Raw genomic sequence first — 22,200 nt, forward strand, 5'->3', positions numbered from 1 at the left:
ACCTTATTAAATATCAATTCAACTCAAGATTTCTAAGAAACTTAACTTCTCATTGTTACTTCCCTAGGACGCTTTGTTTAACAATACCTCTCTTAGCTTCTTTAAAGTATAGTGGCAGGTTTTGGTTTGTTTTTGTGTGTTTTTTTCTTTTTTGAGACAGGGTCTCACTGTGTTGCCCCGGCTAGAGTGTAGTAGCGGGAACATGGCTTACTACAGTCTCAACCTCCTGAGTTCAAGTGACCCTCCTGCCTCAGCCTCCAGGGCAGCTGGGAACACAGGCACACCACCATATTAGGCTAATTTTTTTATTTTTTGTAGAAACAGGGTTTCACTATATTGCCCAGGCTAGTCTTGAACTCCTGGGCTCAAGCAATCCTTCTACCTTGGCCTTCCAAAGTGCTGGGATTACAGGCGTGAGCCACTGTGCCTCATCAGTTTTGTTTTTTTGTTTTTTGTTTTTTTTCCCAGTAGAAAACCTTCACATCAATCATAAAAGTCTATTTTATTCAATGAACTCAAAAATACTAAACTTTTTGGCTAGGCACAGTGGTTCACACCTGTAATCCCGGCACTTTGGGAGGCCAAGGCGGGCGGATCACCTGAGGTCAAGAGTTCAAGACCAGCCTAGCCAGCATGGCGAAACTCCATCTCGACTGAAAATACAAAAATTAGCCGAGCATGGTGGCACGCGTGCCTGTACTCCCAGCTACTTGGGAGGCTGAGGCACGAGAATCGCTTGAATCTGGGAGGCAGAGATTGCAGTGAGGCAAGATTGCGCCACTGCACTCCAGCCTGGGTGACAGAGTGAGACTCTGTCTCAAAACAAAATAAAAATAAACAAATCAATGTTTATGAGTTCACAAAGTCCACAGATTTTACATGACATACCTATACCCAGAAGTATGTTGTACAAGTCCTACAAATGAGGGCAATGTGGAGATAGTCAACAACAGACGCCAATTAGCATCTCACGTTTACCCCTTTCATGTAACTCTAAATACATTTTTTTTAAGAAAACAAAACCATGCAAATCTTTCTCTAATCCAGAGGGGGTGTTTTTGGTTTTTGTTTTTGAGACAGGATCTCATTGTATTGCCCAGGCTGGAGTACAATGGTGGCATCACAGTCATTGCAGCCTCAACATCCTGGGGCCCAAACAATCCTCGCACCTCAGCCTGCTGTGTAGCTGGGACCACAAGCATGCACCACCATACCCAGTTACTTTTTTTTTTTTATTGTTTGTAGAGATGGGGATCTAAATATGTTGCCCAGGCTGGTCTCAGGCTCCTGAGAAATCTAGGGTTCTTAACAGACGACCCATGGACCCCTGAACTTATGATCCTGAAATGATAGTATACACAAAGCAAGTGAGGAGGCAGAGGAAGGAAACAAGTTTTATTTTAAAAGAGGGTTATGATGCAAATCAAAAAACTAAGAAACAGTTTTGTTTGTTTGTTTGTTTGTTTTTGAGACGGAGTTTCACTGTTGTTGCCCAGGCTGGAGTGCAATGGTATAATCTCAGCTCACTGCAACCTCCGTCTCCCAGGCTCAAGCGATTCTCCTGCCTCAGCCTCCCAGGCAGGGATTACAGGTGCGCACCACCATGTCCAGCTAATTTTTATTTTAGTAGAGACGGGGTTTCACCATATTGGCCAGGCTGGTCTCGAACTCCTGACCTCAGGTGATCCGCCTGCCTTGGCCTCCCAAAGTGCTGGGATTACAGGCATGAGCCACTGTACTCAGCCAAGAAACACTGTTCTAACCATACTAATTGGTCACAAATTAAGGGTTTACTTACCAGAATCTGCGGATCCAAACTCTCTCAAAGCTCTCTCATAATATTCTCTTATGTTCGCCATATTGCAGGATTCCTGACAAAGATAGACAATCTTGTCTCAAAAGCCTGATTTATAACATAACAAATTCATTCCAACCATATTGTTAAGCAGCTACTGTCTGTCAGGTATTTGAAGGGAAGAGTTTAACATGAACACAACTTGGCTCTCAACTTTTCTAGGAAAAAAATCAAAGCCACTCAACAGAGTGAAGTACATATGTGAAACATAAAAGCACTTTGCTGTAGTAGCATGGAGAAAAGTGCTATTAGAAAAAAGTGGGGGACATGGGCAGCTTCACAGAAAACAGTATTTGAAAGTCTTGAGGAATGAGTGGGAATTAAATAAAGAAACAGCGAAGGTTCTATTCGCTTTGAGTAAGGATTTCTTCCTTTTGAATATCTGGGCTCTGGTACTTATTTGTTATATCCACCTTAAAATAAATACTAGTTATATGACCTTCAGCAAGTTTTTGAACCCTTTGACCTTAAACATTTCCTCACCTATAAAACAAGCTTTAATATCTCTTAGCACAACTATAAGTATTAGATTAAAATGCTGATGAATTATGTACCTAGCAGAATAGCTGTAACTAACTTTACAACCAAAAACTGCTCATTCTCCACCTATTTTTAAAAATGTATTCTTGCCGGGCACGGTGGCTCACACGGTCAGGAGATCGAGACCATCCTGGCTACAACAGTGAAACCCCGTCTCTACTGAAAATACAAAAAATTAGCCAGGCGTGGTGGCGGGTGCCTGTAGTCCCAGCTACTCAGGAGGCTGAGGCAGGAGAACGGCGTGAACCTAGGAGGTGGAGCTTGCAGTGAGCCGAGATCGCGCCACTACACTCCAGCCTGGGCGACAGAGCGAGACTCTGTCTCAAAAAAAAAAAAAAAAAAAAGTATTCTTGCCGGGTGCAGTGGCTCATGCCTGTAATCCCAGTACTTTGGGAGGCCAAGGCAGGCAGATCACAAGGTCAGGAGTTGAGACCAGCCTGGCCAACGTGGTGAAACCAGTCTCTACAAAAAATACAAAAATTAGGGCCAGGCGCGGTGGCTCACACCTGTAATCCCAGCACTTTGGGAGGCTGAGGCAAGGCAGGTGGATCACAAGGTCAGGAGTTCAAGACCAGCCTGGTCAACATGGTGAAACCCTGTCCCTACTAAAAATACAAAAATTAGCCAGGCATGGTGGTGCATGCCTGTAATCCTAGCTACTCAGGAGGCTGAGGCAAGAGAATTGCTTGAACCTGGGAAGCAGAGGTTGCAGTGAGCCAAGAGTCCAGCCTGGGCGACAGAGAGAGACTCCGTCTAAAAAAAAAAAAAAAAAATTAGCCAGGTGCGGTGGCAGGGGCCTGTAATCCCAGCTACTCGGGAGGCTGAGGCAGGAGAATCGCTTGAACCTGGAAGGCAGAGGTTGCAGTAAACCAAGATCGCGCCACTGCACTCCAGCCTGGGCAACAGACAGCAAGACTCTTGTCTCAAAAAAAAAAAAAAAAAAAAAAAAAAGTCAATTTAACCTCATATTTTAGACATGCATGAAAAACAGAATCACACCTGTTTAATGGCTCATATGTGCACGGCATTATGCAACGTCCTTTCTATCCAGTATCCCATTTGGCCTTACAACTCTCATACCCCTGAAACAGGTATAATGACCTCCTTTACAGATGAGGATGGGAAGCTTAGAATTAAGTGACTTGCTCAAGGCACCTAACTATCATGTTATAAATCCAAAGCCTGGCTATTACATATTAGGCTAGACTATCTCCTATACTATAAAACTGTTCTATACTGTAGAATAAGAACAGATACTTGGCCTGCCAGGCGTGCTGGCTCACACCTGTAATCCCAGCACTTTGGGAGGCTGAGGGGGGCGGATCACCTGAAGTCAGGAGTTTGAGACCAGGCTGGCCAACATGGCAAAACCCCGTCTCTATTGAAAATACAGAAATTAGCAGGGCGTGGCAGCCCGTGCCTGTAATCCCAGCTACTCGGGAGGGTGTGGCAGGAGAAGCACTTGAACCCAGGATGCAGAGTTTGCAGTGAGCCGAGATCACACCACTGCACTCCAGCCTGGGCAACAGAGTAAGACTCTATCTCAAAAAAAAAAAAAAAAGTAACATGTAAGTTTTCTATTCCCCAAACATATACTTTCTCTTTGCTTGATTACCGTTCTTAAACCAGCTCTATGGAAAAGGGATTAGACCAAGGGATCAGAAATTTATACTGTATTATAATGAGAGCTTTTTACATAACAAAACACTCCCGGGCCAGGCACGGTGGCTCACGCCTGTAATCCCAACACTTTGGGAGTCTGAGGTGGGCACATCACGAGGTCAACAGATAGAGACCATCCTGGCCAACATGGTAAAACCCCATCTCTACTAAAAATACAAAAATTGGCTGGGCATGGTGGCGTGTGCCTATAGTCCCAGCTACTCCGGGGGGCTGAGGCAGGAGAATCACTTGAACCTGGGAGATGGAGGTTGCAGTGAGCCAAGATCACGCCACTGCACTCCAGCCTGGCAACAGAGCGAGACTCTGCCTCAAAAAAAACAAAAAAACAAAAAACAGTCTGATAGATTAGTAACCACTAATCCATTTTCCCAGACAAGAAATGCTGAAACAGAACACTTACTTGCTCCTTTTCAAACTGAATCATTTTCCTGAAAAAGTCAACTGAAAATGGTCGGCTCTCCTGTAAACTAAAAAGGAAGGAGAAAACGTTATCTTCAACAATGACAAAAAGCCTCTTACATCTCATAACTGTAAATACCGAGACCAGTGCCTCCACAACACATGGTTTAATAAAGACTTGACTTCAAATCAATGCAAGGACTTGACCTGATGGCCAGTCATTCTCACGATTCTATGACCACTAATGACTTTCTCTTCATACCCAGTTCTTAGTTTTTTGGTTTTTTTTTTTTTTTTTTTTTTGAGACAGGGTCTCACTTTGTCACCCAGGCTGGAGTGCAGTATTGCAATCATAGCTCACTGCAGCCCTGAATTCCCAGGCTCAAGCAATCCTCCTGCCTTAGCCTGTAGAGTAACTGTGACTACAGGCATACATAACCACACACAGCTTATTTTTGAAATTTTTTGTAGAGAAGAGGTCTCACTAGGTTTCTCAGGCTAGTCTCAAACTCCCGGGCTCAAGCAATCCTCCCGCCTCAGCCTTCCAAAGTGCTAGGATTACAGGCATGCACCACCATGCCTGGTTTAATTTTCTTACTGTACTCTTCTTTATCAATTGTAGAGTTTTCAAGTTCCCTCAACTACATGTCAAAGTCTTTTGGGAAATCAGTAATTCCATTTCTAGGAATATATTCTAAGGAAATGATTTCTAATATGGACAAATATTTGTGCAGAAATATTCATCAAAACAGTATTACTGTGGCCAAAAAAGTTATACTGCATCCACGGCCGGGCATGGTGGCTCACACCTGTAATCCCAGCACTTTGGGAGGCCAAGGCAGGTGGATCACCTGAGGTCAGTTCAAGACCAGCCTGACCAACGTGGTGAAACCCTGCCTCTACTAAAAATATAAAAATTGGCTGGGTGTGGTGGTGGGCACCTATAATCCCATCTACTTGGGAGGCTCAGGCAGGAGAATCACTTGAACCTGGGAGGCGGAGGCTGCAGGGAGCCAAGATCAAGCCACTGCACTCCAACCTGGGTGACAGAGTGAGACTCCATCTCAAAAAACAAAAACATAAAGTTATACTGCATCCACAGAGTGGTATATCATACAGCTTTCTCTTTTATTTTTTCCTTTTAGACAAAGTCTCCCTCTGTCACCCAGGCTGGAGTACAGTGCTGAGATCATGACTCACTGCAGCCTAGAATTCCTGGGCTCAAGCAATACTTCCACCTCAGCCTCCAGAATAGCTGAGACCATAGGTGCAAACTGCATCTGGCTAATTGCTTTTCATTTTTAGTAGAGAAAGGGTCTCGCTATGTTGCTCAGGCTGGTCTTCAACTCCTGGGCCCAAGCAATCCTCCCACCTCAGCCTTGGCTTCCCAGAGTTCTGGGATTACAGGAATGGCATGAGCCACCACGCCTGGCCTCTTTATTTTTTTTTTTATTTTTTGAGACAGGCTCTCCCTCTGTTGCCCAGGCTGGAGTGTGGTGGCACAATCATAGCTCACTGCAGCCTCAAACTCCTGGACTCAAGCAATTCTCCCACCTCAGCCTCCTAAAGCACTGGGATTACAGGTGTGAGCCACAGTGCCTGGCCCATCAGCCATGTATTGTTTTAATTTCAACTTTTATTTTAGATTCAGGGGAGTACATGTGCAGGTTTGTTATGTGTGTATATTGCGTGACACTGAGGTTTGGGATAGACTGACCCTGTTACCTGGGTAAGGAGCACAGTAATCGATAGGTAGCTTTTCAGCCCTTTCCTCCATTCCTCCTACCCTCCTTCCCCCTATCCTGTAGTGTCTACTATTTCTGTCTTTATATCCACGTGTACCCAATGTTTAGCTATAATTGCAAGTGAGAACATGTGGTATTTGGTTTTCTGTTCCTGTGATAACTTGCTGAGGACAATGACCTCCAGCTGTATCCACGCTACTGCCAAGAACATGATTTTGTTGTTCTTTATGGCTGCATAGTATTCCATAGAGTATATTTACCACATTGTTTTTTTTCCAATCAACTGTTGATAAGCACCTAGGTTGATTCCATGTCCTTACTATTGTGAATAGTGCTGTGATGAACATACGAGTACATGTCTTTTTGGTAGAATTATTTGTTTTCCTTTGGGTATATATCTAGTAATGGGATTGCTGAGATAAATGGCAGATCTGTTTTAAGTTCTTCCAGAAATCTCCAGCTGATTTCCACAGTGGCTGAACTAATTTACATTCCCACCAACAGTATATAAGGTTTACCCTGCAGCCTTGCCAATATCTATAATTTTATGACTTTTTAATAGCCATTCTGACTAGTGAGATGGTATCTCATTGTGGTTTTGATTTGCATTTCTCTAAAAGTTAGTCATCTTGAACATTTTTTCACATGTATGCTGGCTGCCTTCAATACAGCTATTATGTTTGTTTTGTTTTGGGTTTTTTGTTTTTGTTGTTGTTGTTGTTTTGGTTTTTTTTTTTGGTTTTTTTTTTTGAGACGGAGTCTTGATCTGTCGCCCAGGCTGGAGTGCAGTGGCGCAATCTCAGCTCACTGCAAGCTCCGCCTCCCGGGTTCATGCCATTCTCCTGCCTCAGCCTCCCAGGTAGCTGGGACTACAGGCGCCCGCCACCACATCTGACTAATTTTTTTTGTATTTTTAGTAGAGACAGGGTTTCACCATATTAGCCAGGATGGTCTCGATCTCCTGACCTCGTGATCCGTCTGCCTCGACCTCCCAAAGTGCTGGGATTACAGGCATGAGCCACCGCACCTGGATGTTTTTGTTTTGAGACAGGGTCTCACTCTGTCACCAAGGCTGGAGTGTACTAGCACAAACACGGCTCACTACAGCCTCAACCACCTGGACTCAAGTGATCCTCTGACTTCAGCTTCCCAAGTAGCTAAAATCACAGGCACATGCCATGACACCCAACTTTTTAAGTTTTTTTTTTTTTTTTTTTTGAGATGGAGTCTTGCTCTGTCGCCCAGGCTGGAATGCAGTGGCGCGATCTCAGCTCACTGAAAGCTCCGCCTCCCAGGTTCACGCCATGCTCCTGCCTTAGCCTCCCAAGTAGCTGGGAATACAGGCGCCTGCCACCACGCCCGGCTAATTTTTTGTATTTTTTTTAGTAGAGACGGGGTTTCATCGTGTTAGCCAGGATGGTCTCGAACTCCTGACCTTGTGATCCGCCCGCCTCGGCCTCCTAAAGTGCTAGGATTACAGGCATGAGCCACCGCACCCGGCCTTTTAACTTTTCATAGAAATGAAGTCTCGTTGTGTTGCCCACGCTCGTCTCAAATGCTTGGGATCAAGCAATCCTCTTGTCTCAGTCTCCCAAAATCCTGAGATTAGAGGCCTTGAACCACCGTGCCCAGCTCATATAGCTATGTTTAATAAATGATGTTTATAAAGAATTTTTGGCTGGGCACAGTGCCTCATACCTACAATCCCAGCCCTTTGGGAGGCCAAGGCAGGAAGATCACTGGAAGCCATAAGGTCAAGATCAGTTTAAGCAACAAGGCGAGACCCTGACTCTGCAAAAAAATTTAAGAATTAGCGGGGCATCGCCAGGCATGGTAGCTCATGCCTGTAATCCCAGCATTTTGGGAGGCTGAGCTGGGCAGATTGCTTGGGCCCAGGAGTTCAAGACCAGCCTGGGCAACACAGTGAAACCCCATCTCTACTAAAAATAAAAAATTACCTGGGTGTGGTGGCACACACCTGTAGTCCCAGCTACTTGGGAAGCTAACGCACAAGAATCACTTGAACCAGGAAGGCAGAGTTTGCAGTGAGCCAAGATGGCGCCATTACACTCAGCCTGGGCAACAGAGCAAGACTCTGTCTCAAAGAAAAAAAAAATATTTAGGCCGGGCACAGTGGCTCACACCTGTAATCCCAACACTTAGGGAGGCCGAGGCGGGCAGGTCACCAGAGGTCAGGAGTTCGAGACCAGCCTAGCCAACATGGCAAAAACCCTTATCTACTAAAAATATAAAAAATTAGCCGGGCGTCGTGGCACATGCCTGTAATCCCAGCTACTCAGGAGGCTGAGGCAGGAGAATCGCTTGAACCCGGGAGGCAGAAGTTGCAGTGAGCCGAGACTGTACCACTGCACTCCAGCCTGGGCAACACAGTGAGACTCCATCTCAAAAAAAAAAAGAAATTTTTTTTAAATCATAAATAAAATTACAGTTATACTATAATCTCAACTACATAAAAACAAATTTTAAAATTATGTGTTAACAGTAATTTTTCCTTCGATGATGTAATAAATTATCATGGTTATGTTTTCCCCCACCACAATGAACTGCTTTTATTGTTCAAAAAAAAGAAAAAGAAGGCCAGGCATGGTGGCTTACACTTATAATCCTAGCACTTTGGGAGGCTGAGGCAGGAGGACTGCTTGAGCCCAGGAGTTTGAGACCAGGCTGAACAATGTTGTGAGACTCAGTCTCTACCAAAAAAAAAAAATGTTTTAAGTTAGCTGGACATGGTGGTACATGCCTGTAGACCCAGACATTTGGGAGGCTGAGGTGGGCGGACTGCTTGAGCCCAGAAGGTCAAGGCTTCGGTGAACCATGATTGTGCCACTACACTCTAACCTAGGTGACAGAGCGAGAACCTGTCTCAAAAAAGAAAAGGAAACATTACTTTTTGAAAAAGTTCACTGGAGGCCAAATGCACTGGCTCATGCCTGTAATCCCAGCACTTTGAGAGGCCAAGACAAGCAAATCACTTGAGATCAGCAGTTCGAGACCAGCCTGGCCAACATGATGAAACCGTCTCTACTAAATTACAAAATTAGCCGGGCGTGGTGTCACACATCTGTAATCCCAGCTATTCAGGAGGCTAAGGCGGGAGAATCACTGTCTCAAAAAAACAAAAAAAAAACAAAAAAAAAGGAAAATGAAACAGTGTATTGGGTCAGGTGTGGTGCCTCATGCCTGTAATCCCTGCACTTTGGGAGGCTGAGGTGGGCAGATCACCTGAGGTTAGGAGTTTGAGACCAGCCTGGCCAACATGGTGAAACCTTGTCTTTAAAATCTAAAATTTAAAAATTAGCCAGGCGTGGTGGCAGGTGCCTGTAATCCTAGCTACTCGGGAAGCCGAGGCAGGAGAATCACTTGAACGCAGGAGGCGGAGATTGCAGTGAGCAGAGATTGTGCCACTGCACTCCAGCCTGGGCAACAGAGCAAGACTCCATCTTAAAAAAAAAGAAAAAGTGTATCAGATTACTCCCTCAGATGCTATCTGTGATTCAAATAATCTGGGTATGAGCGGCTGAGCATGGGGTAGAGGGACTAGTAACAACTATGAACGTCTGTGAGTACCTTTTAAACACAGCTCTGGCCTTTTTGTAGCCACCACTTCGATAAGCCCAATCCAGGTACTTATTCTTCAGGGTTACTGAGTCGGCACCTATGACAGCTAAGAGAGCTTTCTACAATTTAAAAGAAAAAAGAAAGAAGCTATGTGAGAAAACTTATAGATACCAAAACAGATTTTCCCAGAACCACCTGAGGCCACTCCATAGTGCTTTAGGCGCACCTGCAACACTAGAGCTGACCAACCAGGGAACCTTCTGCCATTCCCCACACCACAAGACTTGGAACACGGAGCCTATACCTTAAAGACTGCCTCAGTGTCTTCTTGGCTTTTGGCACCTTCACTCCACTCTGCCCAGGAAATCCACAATGGCAGACAAACCTACTCCCAGTTTAAAAAATGTTAGTTAGAGAACAGCATATAACAAAACATCGCATGTACCCTATAAATATGTAAAATATTATGTATCAATTTTTTTATGCTATAAAATGACAGTTTAGTCCTATGCTCTGAAAACTAGTTAAAAAGGCAGGTTCCTCCTAAGATAATCAACATGTAAAATAGGGATTCATTCCCAAACAGTCCTCATTGTGACAGAATTCTCATTGCCCAGCAGGAATGGCACTCCAGAACACAGCCAGCCTTCTGACCAAGTCACTCAGAGCAACACTCTTCTGTGAATTTTAGTTCCTTTCTATTGGGAAATATTTCATGTAGTTATCATCAATCATCTTTTAGTTAAGTAAGTAATTAACAGCCCACACAGTTAGACCCACAGCTACCCAGGTCATGTCTCTGCTGTCTAAGACCCACAACACAAGAACTAATTAATCTAGGCTGAACTATCTGATCTTCATTCATGTCCCAGAGGTACGTACAAATGAGCAGCAAAAGCGAGGCATGGTGGCGCACATTTGCAATCCCAGCACTTTAAAGACGGAGGCAGGCGGATCACTTGAGGCCAGGAGTTCAAGACCAGCCTGGCCAACATGGCAAAACCCTGTCTCTACTAAAAATACAAAAATTAGCTGGGCATGGTGGTGGGCACTTCTTATCCCAGCTACTTGGGAGGCTGAGACAGGAGAATCGCTTGAACCTGGGAGGTGGAGGTTGCAGTGAGCCAAGTTTGCACCACTGCACTCCAGCCTGGGCAACAGAACAAGACTTCATCTCAAAAAAAAGGAAAAACCACCAAATGAGCAGTAGTTTTTTTCCTACTTTATCTTCTGGAATACGTTTTACCTACTAATATAAAAAATTCACTGCAAAGTGAATCTGGCCATACACCGTGGCTCACGCCTGTAATCTCAGCACTTTGGGAGGCCAAGGCGGGCAGATCACTTGAGGCTAGGAGTTCCAGACCAGCCTGGCCAACATGGAGATATCCTGTCTCTACTAAAATAGAAAATATTAGTCAGGTGTGATGGCATGCGCCTGTAGTCCCAGCTACTCGGGAGGCTGAGGCAGGAGAATTGCCTGAACCCGGGAGGCAGAGATTGCAGTGAGCTGAGATCACGCCACTGCACTCCAGCCTGGACAACAGAGCGAGACTCCATCTTAAAAAAAAAAAAAAAAAAGGTTGGGCTTATATTCAGCAAGTGACATTAATATTCTACTGGTATTTCTAACTTTATAAGATATCTAAATAGAATAGGAAGTTTTATTTAATTTGGTTAACTTTCAAATAAAGGATATTAAATAGAAGCAAATTCTTCTACTCTTAACCTATGAACCATCACCACTGAATAGCAAATGCCACTCTAGAGTTGGCTCTCAATAGACAAGTACATTCCAAATGAGCCTTGGCTAGTCTTAAAAGGTTTCCCAAATATAATGAATACAAAAGATCCAGCTCACTGACCTGGGGTTTCAGGTGCACAAAGGCTTCTTCAAAAAGCATGGCTATGTCAGGGCTCTTTGACTCGATCAGCACCTGCAGCTTCAGCTGCCACATTGTCCCAGAGTCTCTAAACAATTCAGTTCCAGCTACTGCCACTTCCAGAGCTTCCCTCAGGAAGTTATAACACAGCAACGAAACACTCTAGACAAGATGAAGGATGACTGGAAAATTAATTACTGAAACCCAAACAATCTATGTAAATGTAAACCTATGCCTCATTTGAGGCAAGAATTTCACCAACCTTTCCACTACAATTTAAAATAAAAAAGAGGCCAGGTGTGGTGGCTCACACCTGTAACCCCAGCACTTTGGGAGGCCCAGGCGGGCACATCACGAGCTCAGGAGATCAAGACCATCCCGGCCAACATGGTGAAACCCCGTCTCTACTAAAAACACAAAAATTAGCTGGGTGTGGTGGTATGCATCTGTAATCCCAGCTACTCGGAAGGCTGAGGCAGAAGAATCGCTTGAATCCAGGAGGTGGAGATTGCAGTGAGCTGAGATCACACCACTGCACTCCAACCTCGGCGACAGAGCAACTCTATCTCAAAAAAAAAAAAAAAAAAGAAAAGAAATGAGCTATGTGATAACTTATAGGTATCAAAACAAATTTTCCATGGCTGTTAAACAGGCACGAAGTGAACAATTTAGAATTTCTCCTATTTTCACTGCTCCTACCCATGAGGGTTATCCAAAAACAGGGAAGACGTAAAAACCAGAGAACCTAAAGAATTTAGACTGTAAGTTAGGTTTTTTTGTTTTTCTTTTTCTTTTTTTTGGAGACAGAGTTTTGCTCTGTAACCCAGCCTGGAGTACAGTGGCGCAATGATCTCGGCTCACTGCAACCTCCAACTCCTGGGTTCAAGCAATTCTCCTCCCTCAGCCTCCCGAGTAGCTGGGACGACAGGCGCCCATCGCCACGCCTGGTTAATTTTTTGTATTTTAGTAGAAATGGGGTTTCACCATGTTGGCCAGGCTGGTCTTAAACTCCTGACCTCAGATGATCCACCCACCTCGGCCTCCCAAAGTGCTGGGATTACAGGCGTGAGCCACCATGCCCAGCATATAAGTTTTTAATAAAACAGTTCACAGCCAGGCATGGTGGCTCACGCCTGTAATCCCAGCACTTTGGGAGGCTGAGGCAGGCAGATCACCTAAGGTCGGGAGTTCAAGACCAGCCTGACCAACATGGAGAAACCCTGTCACTACTAAAAATACAAAATTAGCCAGGCGTGGTGGTGCATGCTTGTAATTCCGGCTACTCGGGAGGCTGAGTCAGGAGAATTGCTTGAACCCAGGAGGCGGAGGTTGAGGTGAGCCAAGATCATGCCATTGCACTCCAGCCTGGGCAACAAGAGCGAAACTCCGTCTCAAAAAAATAATAAATAAATAAAAACAAAACAGTTCACTATGCCAGAACACATGCTCACCAAACAGAGGATGAAAATTAACAAATAGGCTGCGCTCAGTGGCTCACGCCTGTAATCCCAGCACTTTGGGAGGCCAAGGCAGGCAGATCACCTGAGGTCAAGAGCTCAAGACCAGCTTAGCCAACATGGTGAAACCTTGTTTCTACTAAAAATACAAAAATTAGCTAGGTGTGTTGGTGCACGCCTGTAATCCCAGCTACTCGGGAGGATGAGTTGGGAGAATCACTTAAACCTGGGAGGAGGAAGTTGCAGTGGGCCAAGATCATGCCACTACACTCCAGGCTGGGTGACAGAGCAAGACTCTGTCTCCAAAAAAATTTTAAAAATCAATAAACAAAAATCAATCCACAAAATCAGTATTTGTGGAGTGTCAAGGAAACAGGTATATTCAAACAGAGTTGGACATAACATAAACTAAAGCAAATTTTTCTGAAATTCAATTTGACAGTTTGTAGCAAGAGTCATGAAAGTGCTCAACGCTTCAATTTGGGACTTCTACATTAACAAATATGGTCCAAAAAATACATGAATGAAAGGAAATTTTACCTGTTCAAAATGCTTATACCTACATTATTTGAAAAAGAGAAAAAACCTAAAAACAATCCAATTGTACAAATTTGTGAAAAATTAAATGACAGTATATAATCAGTACATTCAGCAAGCATTTTTATTGCACACTATATGTGCTAGATTCAATAGTGAACAAATCAGATGCATTCCCTACCACCCATAGAGCCTCCAGTCTAAGAGACAAAACGGTTTGATATGTTTCTTCCGACAGAAGATGAATCATCTAGGCTGGGCACAGTGGCTCACGCCTGAAAGACCAAGTTAGAAAGCCAGGCACGGCCAGGAGCAGTGGATCATGCCTGTAATCTCAGCACTTTGGGAGGCTGAGGCAGTCAGATCGCTTGAGGTCAGGAGCTCAAGACCAGCCTGGCCAACATAGTGAAACTCTGTCCCTACTAAAAATACAAAAATTTGGCCAGGCATGATGGCTCATGCCTTAGTCCCAGCACTTTGGGAGGCCGAGGCAGGGGGATCACTTGAGGTCAGAAGTTAGAGACCAGCCCAGCCAAGATGGTGAAATCCCGTCTCTACCAAAAATACAAAAATTAGCTGGGCGTGGTGGCATGCACCTGTGATCCCAGCTACTTGGGAGGCTAAGGCACAAGAATCACTTGAACCCAAGAGGCAGAGGATGCAGTGAGCTGAGATCGCGCCACTGTGCTCCAGCCTGGGCAACAGAGTGAAACTCCGTCTCAAAAAAAAAAAAAAAAAAGGAATGGGTGGACAAACAAAATAAACCCAAATCATGACTCTTGTTCTAAGTGCTTTTCACTGTATAATACTCCTCCCTTTGCTAGTACAGATTTCATTTTTTGCATAGGCCAAATACTGGGAAACACATATAAACACACTTCACATACCGAACTCCCAAGTGGCCTTCATCTTAAGACTATATATATTTAAAACATGACTCTGGCACAAAACAACTGGAATAAGGTATTTGTAACTGGCACAGAATATTTTCTCTATGTTCTTACCAACTGCTTGTATTGGCATTCTGACAGAAGCTTCAGTTCATGTGCCTTCCTGAATACAGTCATGGTTCTTTCCAACCTCTGAAAACAGAAAAATCCCTCAGTTCATTACAAAGATCCCAGCAGGGGCCTCTGGCCTCTGACATGAACAAAAGCAGTTTTGCGCATTTCTTAAAATTCAAAGAAGCTGACTTGCTCCTGCATGGTGGTTTCACTTATGAATAGATGCAATGGGCAGCTGCACCGAACAGAGCCCAGTTACACGAGAGCCCCTCCTAACCTGGCGGCAAACCAGACTCAGACCTTTAGAATGTCACGTCACCCACAAGGAGAGAGAGAGTGGCTAAACATAAAAGTTCTCAGAAACTGTGCCAGACACCAAAAGATCTGTGCTTCTGTTCTTTCAGAAGGCAGTCACTATCTAGTCAACCACTGTAACCATGTAACAACCTCACCTTCCCTCTAAGGAACCCACTATTTGACTTCTTAGTAAATCTTTCCAAGCAAAAGGTGATGTAACACTTCCACATGGCCTCTGGAAAAGTCAGAAAGATTGTGTTGATCAGATCACTTAGTTCAACATTCATCACATCAAAGTTATTAAAAGATAAGGAAAAAAACAGTCATCCTACACCTTTACTTCAAGGGGAAAACTCTCCTCTGAAGAAGAGTTTAAATCAGCCTGATTTTAAGAAGTGTTATGCTGACTACAGCCAATCAAACACCTCAAATATTGGGGGAAAACAACTGAGTAACAGCTTAAATATAAAAATTGAAAGCCTTATCCAGGTTATATATCCCCTCTGCCTTTATTCTACATTATTACAAAATAAAAATTAAATCACTTTCCAAAGATAATTAAGGGCGAGGCAGTGGTTCACATCTGTAATCCCATCACTTTGGGAGGCTGAGGCAGGCTGATCACCTGAAGTCAGGAGTTCAAGACCAGCCTGGCCAACGTGGTGAAACCTCATCTCTACTAAAAATACAAAAATCCATGGGGCATGGTGGCATGCACCTGTAATCCCAGCTACTCGGGAGGCTGAGGCAGGAGAATTGCTTAAACCTGGGAGGAAGAGGTTGTAGTAACCCGAGATCGTGTCACTGTACTCCAGCCTGGGCAACAGCGTGAGACTCTGTCTCAAAAAGATAATTAAGGATGTCGGTAATCCTAGCAAGTTGGGAGGCCGAGGCATGCAGATCACTTGATTCTAGCAGTTCAAGACCAGCCTGGGCAACATGGCAAAACTCCATCTCTACAAAAAATACATTAAAATTGGCCTGGCGTGGAGGCATGCGCCTGTAGACCCAGCTACTCAGGGGGTTGAGGCGGGAGGATTGCTTCAACCCAGGAGGCAGAGGTTGGAGTGAGCTGAAATTGCGCCACTGCACTCCAGCCTGGGTGACACAGCAGGATCCTGTCTCAAAAAAAAACATAGATAATTAAGAAATAATAATTGAAGAATCTTAGAAATTATTTCCTAAGCTTCCCCCAAAATAGATGAACATAAATACCACTACTATGGAGGAAGGTCATAAAAGTTAGAAAGCCAAGACCAAGTTAGAAAGCCAGGCACGGCCAAATGCGGTGGCTCATGCGTGTAATCCCAGCACTTTAGGAGGCCAAAGTGAGCAAACCACCTGAGGTCAGGAGTTCAAGACCAGCCTGGCCAACATGGTGAAACTCCGTCTGTACTAAAAATACAAAAATTAGCCAGGCATCGTGGCACACGCCTGTAATCCCAGCTACTCGGGAGGATGAGGCAGGACAATCGCTTGAACCTGGGAGGTGGAGGCTGCAGTGAGCCGAGATCACACCATTGCACTCCAGCCTGGGCAACAGAGTGAGACTCTGTCTCAAAAAAAAACAAAAAACAAAAAAAACCCAGGCACGGTGGCTCACGCCTGTAATCCTGTAACCCTAGCACTTTGGGAGACCAAGGCAAGTAGATCGCCTGAGCTCAGGAGTTCGAGACCAGTCTGGGCAACACAGTGAAACCCCGTCTCTACTAAAATACAAAAAAATTAGCTGGGCATGGTGGCGGGCACCCGTAGTCCCAGCTATTTGGGAGGCTGAGGCAGGAGAATTGCTTGAACCCGGGAGGTGGAGGTTGCAGTGAGCCGAAATCGAGCCACTGAACTCCAGCCAGGGTGACAGAACAAGACTCTGCCTCCCAATAAAAAAAAAAAAAAAAGGCCAGGCTCATCGTAAACTATGTTACAGAGACATCCCCAATATTGATTTTGGCAATGGGAACAGGAGCTTAAGTTTCACAATCAGGGATACTATTCCTTCTATATCACACCATGGTTTGGTGAAGTTCACCTGTTGGCAGAGTCTTCACTGCCTCTTCATACACAGCACAGCACCTCTCCTCCTTCCGGCCGACCTCCACTGCTTTGGCTTGTTTCGTTGTAGGCTGCTCTTCTGTCTGTGACTCAATCTCTAATTCTCGCCTTGCCACATAATCCCAAGTGAGAGGATCATCTGTGTGTAGAGCCTGAAGGCTGAAAAATACAATTTACTGTTATCAATCCCACAACAAGAAACTGACTCAGAATATCAGAGAAACAGTTACCTGTGCTTAAAAAATCTACACAGGACATCCCTGTAACAACTGCAGTACCATAAAAACTATTTCCCAGGCCGGGCCCGGTGGCTCACGCCACTGGGAGACCAGCACTTTGGGAGTCTGAGGTGGGTGGATCACCTGAGGTCGGGAGTTCGAGACCAGCCTGACCAATATGGTGAAACCCCATCTCTACTAAAAATACAAAAATAAGCCAGGCATGATGGCATGTGACTGTAGTCCCAGCTACTAGAGAGGCTGAGACAGGAGAATTGCTTGAACCCAGGAGGCAGAAGTTGCAGTGAGTCGAGATCGCATCACTCCAGCATGGGCGACAGAGCGAGACTCTGTCTCAAAAAAAAAAAAAATATATTTCCCAACAGGCTCTCCAGAATATGTTCACTAACTGTAGAAATTTTGTCAATGGATCAGAATTGTCCCACTTTTTCACTTTTTTTTTTTTTTTTTTTGAGCCAGAATCTCATTGCCACCAAGGCTGGAGTGCAGTGGCACAATCTCAGTTCGCTGCAACCCCCATCTCCTGGATTCAAGCAATTCTCCTGCCTCAGCCTTCCAAGTAGCTGGAATTACAGACGCATACCACCACGCCCAGCTAATTTTTGTATTTCTTTGGGAGAGATGAGTTTTCACCATGTTGGCCAGACTGGTCTCAAACTCTTGACCTCAAGTGATCCTCCTGCCTTGGGCTCCCAAAGTGCTGGGTGGGATTACAGTGTGAGCCACTGCACCTGGCCAGAGCTGTCCCACATTTATTGAGTTTCAGAATATTTCAGGTATCATTCACAAATGTTAACTTTCAAGTTAGCTCTCAAAGTCAAATCAGCAGTTATCTGTGACAACACAAGACTCCAAGAGACCTGAAGAACTTTTTTTTGTTTTTGAGATAGGGTCTGTCACCCAGGCTGGAGTGCAGTGGTGCCATCATGGCTCACTGCAGCCTCCACCTCCCAGGCTCAGGTGATCCTCCCACCTCAGCCTCCCATGTAGCTGGTACTACAAGTGCATGCCACCATACCCAGCTAATTTTGGTAGTTTTATTGTACAGAGTTTTGCCATGTTGCCCAGGATGGTCTCCAACTCCTGGGTGCTCAAGCAATAGTCCATCCCAAAGTGTTGGGATTACAGCCCCTGTGCCCAGCCTAAAGAACTTTATTATAGCTGAGCTCTTCATTTTCGTTTGTGTGTGTGTGTGTGTTTGTGTGTGTGTTTTAAGACAGAGTTTCTCTCTTGTTGCCCAAGCTGAAGTGCAGTGGCACGATCTCAACTCACTATAACCTCCGCCTCCTGGGTTCAAGCGATTCTCCTGCCTCAGCCTCCGGAGTACCTGGGATTACAGGCATGTGACACCACACCCAGCTAATTTTTGTATTTTTAGTAGAGGCGGGGTTTCACCATGTTGGCCAGACTGGTCTCAAACTCCTGACCTCAGGTGATCCGCCCGCCTCGGCCTTCCCAAGTGCTGGGATTACAGGCATGAGCCACTGCATCTGTTTTTTTTTTTTGGAGACAGAGTCTTCTCTGTCACCAGGATGGAGTGCAGTGGGACGATCTCAGCTCACTGCAACCTCCACCTTCCAGGTTCAAGCGATTCTCCTGCCTCAGCCTCCTGAGTAGCTGGGATTACAGGTGCATGCCATCACACCAAGCTGATTTTTCTATTTTTAGTAGAGACGGGGTTTCACCATGTTGGCCAGGATGATCTCAATCTCTTGACCTCAAGTGATCCGCCCACCTCGGCCTCCCGAAGTGCTGAGATTACAGGCGTAAGCCACCACACCCAGCCCAGGGTTCTTCATTTTCTAAATAATAGAGAAAAAGCACAACCTACTCCTCTCTCAAAACCCTGAAGATATCCAAACAACAGATTGATTCAAGTTCCATTTCCCCTCCTGTCAAAGGAAGAGGTGTTACCAAAAAACGGAAGTACCCACAAGGTAGGCTAAAAATATTTTTTTTTTCTTTTTTTGAGACAGGGTCTCACTCTGTCACCCAGGCTGGGGTGCAGTGATGCAATAACAGCTCACGGCAGCCTCAACCTCACAGGCTCAAGGGATCCTCCCACCTCAGCCCCGCAAGTAGCTGGGACTACAGGCACATGTCACCATACCCAACTAATTTTATTGTTATTTTTTGTAAAAACAGGTCTCGCCATGTTGCCGAAGCTTACAAATAATTGTTAAACCATATAATCAGACATTAAAGAATAAAATTACCAGCCAGGTGTAATGGCTCACACCTGTAATCCTTGCACTTTGGGAGGCTAAGGCAGGAGGATCACTTGAGCTCAGGAATTCAAGATCAACCTGGGCAACATAGTGAGACCTCATCTCTATAATTAAAAACATAAATAAATAAAAATATAATAAAGAAATAAAAAGAATAAAATTACCAGCACTCAACTATAAACATATGAGTATAACTCTCATTTTATGGATAAATGCCAGGAAAATAGAATTTAGAATTTTATATAAGCTTTAGATTTTTTTTTTTTTTTTGAGATGGAATTTTGCTCTTGTTTCCCAGGCTGGAGTGCAATGGCACAATCTTGGCTCACTGCAACCTCCACCTCCCGGCTTCAAGTGATTCTCCTGCCTCAGCCTCCCGAGTAGCTGGGATTACAGGTATGCGCCACCACGCCCGACTAATTTTGTATTTTTAGTAGAAACGTGGTTTCTCCATGTTGGTCAGGCTGGTCTCAAACTCTCGACCTCAGGTGATCCATGCATCTCGGCCTCCCAAAGTGCCGGGATTACAGGCTTAAGCCACCGTGCCTGGCTAGATTTTTTTTTTTTATTGAATAAACTATTTCCCCCAGTAAGTGAATCAAAGAACTCAATCAGGAAGATACTTTTTTTCTGAGACACGGTCTCACTCTGTGACCCAGACAGGAGTGGAGTGGCAGGATCACAGTTCACTCCAGCCTCAACCTCCCAGACTCAGGTGATCTTCCCACCTCAGCCTCCAGAGTAGGTAGGACCACAGGCATGCACCACCACACCTAGCTTATTTTTTGTAGAGACAGGGTTTCACCGTGTTGCCTAGGGTGGTCTCAAACCCCTGAGCTCAAGGGATCCACCTGCCTTGGCCTCCCAAAGTACTGGGATCCCAAAGTGTGAGCTACTACACTGGGCCAGGAAATTTTTTTTTAACGTAATATGATATTAATTTTTTTTTTTTTTTGAGATGGAGTTTTGCTTGTCACCCAGGCTGGAGTGCAATTGTGGGATCTTGGCTCACTGCAACCTCCGCCTCCCAGGTTCAAGCGAGTCTCCTGGCTCAGCCTCCCAAGTAGCTGGGATTACAGGCATGCACTACCACGCCCAACTAATTTTGTATTTTTAGTAGAGACGGGGTTTCACCATGTTGGTCAAGCTGGTCTCAAACTCCTGACCTCTGGTGATCCACCCACCTCAGTCTCCCAAAGTGCTGGGATTACAGGTGTGAGCCACTGCACCCGGCCAATATTAGCTTTTATTCCAGGGATTTAGTGTGGTATCTTCTTTCTCTTCTACTAAATATCCAACCTCAAACCCTTAATCTCAAGATCAGAAATAGATATATTCACCTTTCTACTAACTTTACTTACTCATCATAAATCTCTTTTTGTAGATCTTTGGCAAAGTCAAATAGCTGTGCAATCGAAAGCAGTGACACGTGAAATTCTGCACCTAAATTTAAAAAGCAGGGGAGGGGAAGTTTATTGCCAATAAGAATCACTTTACTTTAAAAGTAGCATTCTTTTCATGTACTGGAGTTAATCTTCTTGTTTTTTGAAATGAGAAATAGAATAAAATAGAAGAAAAGTCATCCCATAGTCCCCTCACCCCAGTGTCCCCCTACTCAAGCAAAGCTATTGTTAATCTTTGGAGTATTCATAAAAAAAGAACTAATTTTCAACTCCCCACGATTTAATTACTCCATGAGAACTTACTGAGGATTGGTGCAATGGCTCACACCAGTTATGCCATCACTTTGGGAGGCCAAGGCAGGAGGATCACTTGAGCTCAGGAGTTCAAGACTAGCCCGGACAACATGGTGAAACCTCATCTCTACTACAAGTACAAAAACTAGCCAGGCATAGAGGTCCATGCCCAGCTACTCAGGAGGCTGAAATGGGAGAATCACCTGAGCCCATGAAGTCGAGGCTACAGTGAGCCATAATTGTACCACTGCACTCCTGCGTGGGTGACAGAGTAAGACCCTGTCTCAAAAAAAAAACATGGAAGGATAAATGAGTACACGCTGGGTACAGTATACACTGCTCGTTGATGGGTGCACCAAAATCTCAGACATCACCACTAAACCTGTTCCCCAAAAACCTATTGACATTTTTATTTTTTTGAGATGAAGTCTCGCTCTGTTGCCCAGGCGCTCTCAGCTCACTGCAACCTCCACCTCCCGGGTTCAAGCAATTCTCCTGCCTCGGCCTCCCAAGTAGCTGGGATTACAGGCGCCCACCACCACACCCAGCTAATTTTTGTATTTTTAGTAGAAATGGGGTTTCACCATGTGGGCCAGGCTGGTCGCAAACTCCTGACCTCAGGTGATCCACCTGCCTTGGCCTCCCAAAGTGCTGGGATTACAGGCATGAGCCACCATACCCGGCCCAAACCTATTAAAATTTAAGGGAAAAAAATGGGAGTAGAATATAAATTTTAAAAAGAGACTTATGCCAGGCATGGTGGCTCACGCCTGTAATCCCAACACTTTGGGAGGCCAAGGCGGGCAGGTCACAAGGTCAGGAGTACGAGACCAGCCTAGCCAACATAGTGAAACTACGTCTCTACTAAAAATACAAAAATTAGCTGGGCAGGGTGGCACACACCTATAGTCCCAGCTACTTGGGAGGCTGAGGCAGGAGAATCACTTGAACCCAGGAAGCAGAGGTTGTGGTGAGCCGAGATCACGCCAATGCACTCCAGCCTGGGCA

General features: G+C 44.9%; 1 protein-coding gene across 4 annotated transcripts in view; it reads right to left on the minus strand.

The window, feature by feature from the left end:
* UTP6 (UTP6 small subunit processome component) overlaps nucleotides 1-22,200 on the minus strand; it is a 40,805-nt gene that overhangs the window by 2,664 nt on the left and 15,941 nt on the right. For 2 of the 4 annotated variants that reach the window (NM_018428.3, XM_047436390.1), the window contains 9 exons: nucleotides 20,857-20,938; nucleotides 17,006-17,187; nucleotides 15,135-15,214; nucleotides 14,683-14,760; nucleotides 11,667-11,846; nucleotides 10,106-10,186; nucleotides 9,811-9,920; nucleotides 4,479-4,545; nucleotides 1,799-1,871 (listed from right to left, as the gene is read on the minus strand). In NM_018428.3, the coding sequence (NP_060898.2) occupies nucleotides 1,799-1,871; nucleotides 4,479-4,545; nucleotides 9,811-9,920; nucleotides 10,106-10,186; nucleotides 11,667-11,846; nucleotides 14,683-14,760; nucleotides 15,135-15,214; nucleotides 17,006-17,187; nucleotides 20,857-20,938 (933 nt within the window). Of the gene's footprint in view, nucleotides 1-1,798; nucleotides 1,872-4,478; nucleotides 4,546-9,810; nucleotides 9,921-10,105; nucleotides 10,187-11,666; nucleotides 11,847-14,682; nucleotides 14,761-15,134; nucleotides 15,215-17,005; nucleotides 17,188-20,856; nucleotides 20,939-22,200 lie in introns of those variants that run through there. The other 2 variants (XM_011524997.4, XM_047436391.1) reach the window with 2 other exon arrangements.

Source organism: Homo sapiens, chromosome 17 (genome assembly GCF_000001405.40).
Source record: "Homo sapiens chromosome 17, GRCh38.p14 Primary Assembly".
NCBI lineage: Eukaryota > Metazoa > Chordata > Mammalia > Primates > Hominidae > Homo > Homo sapiens.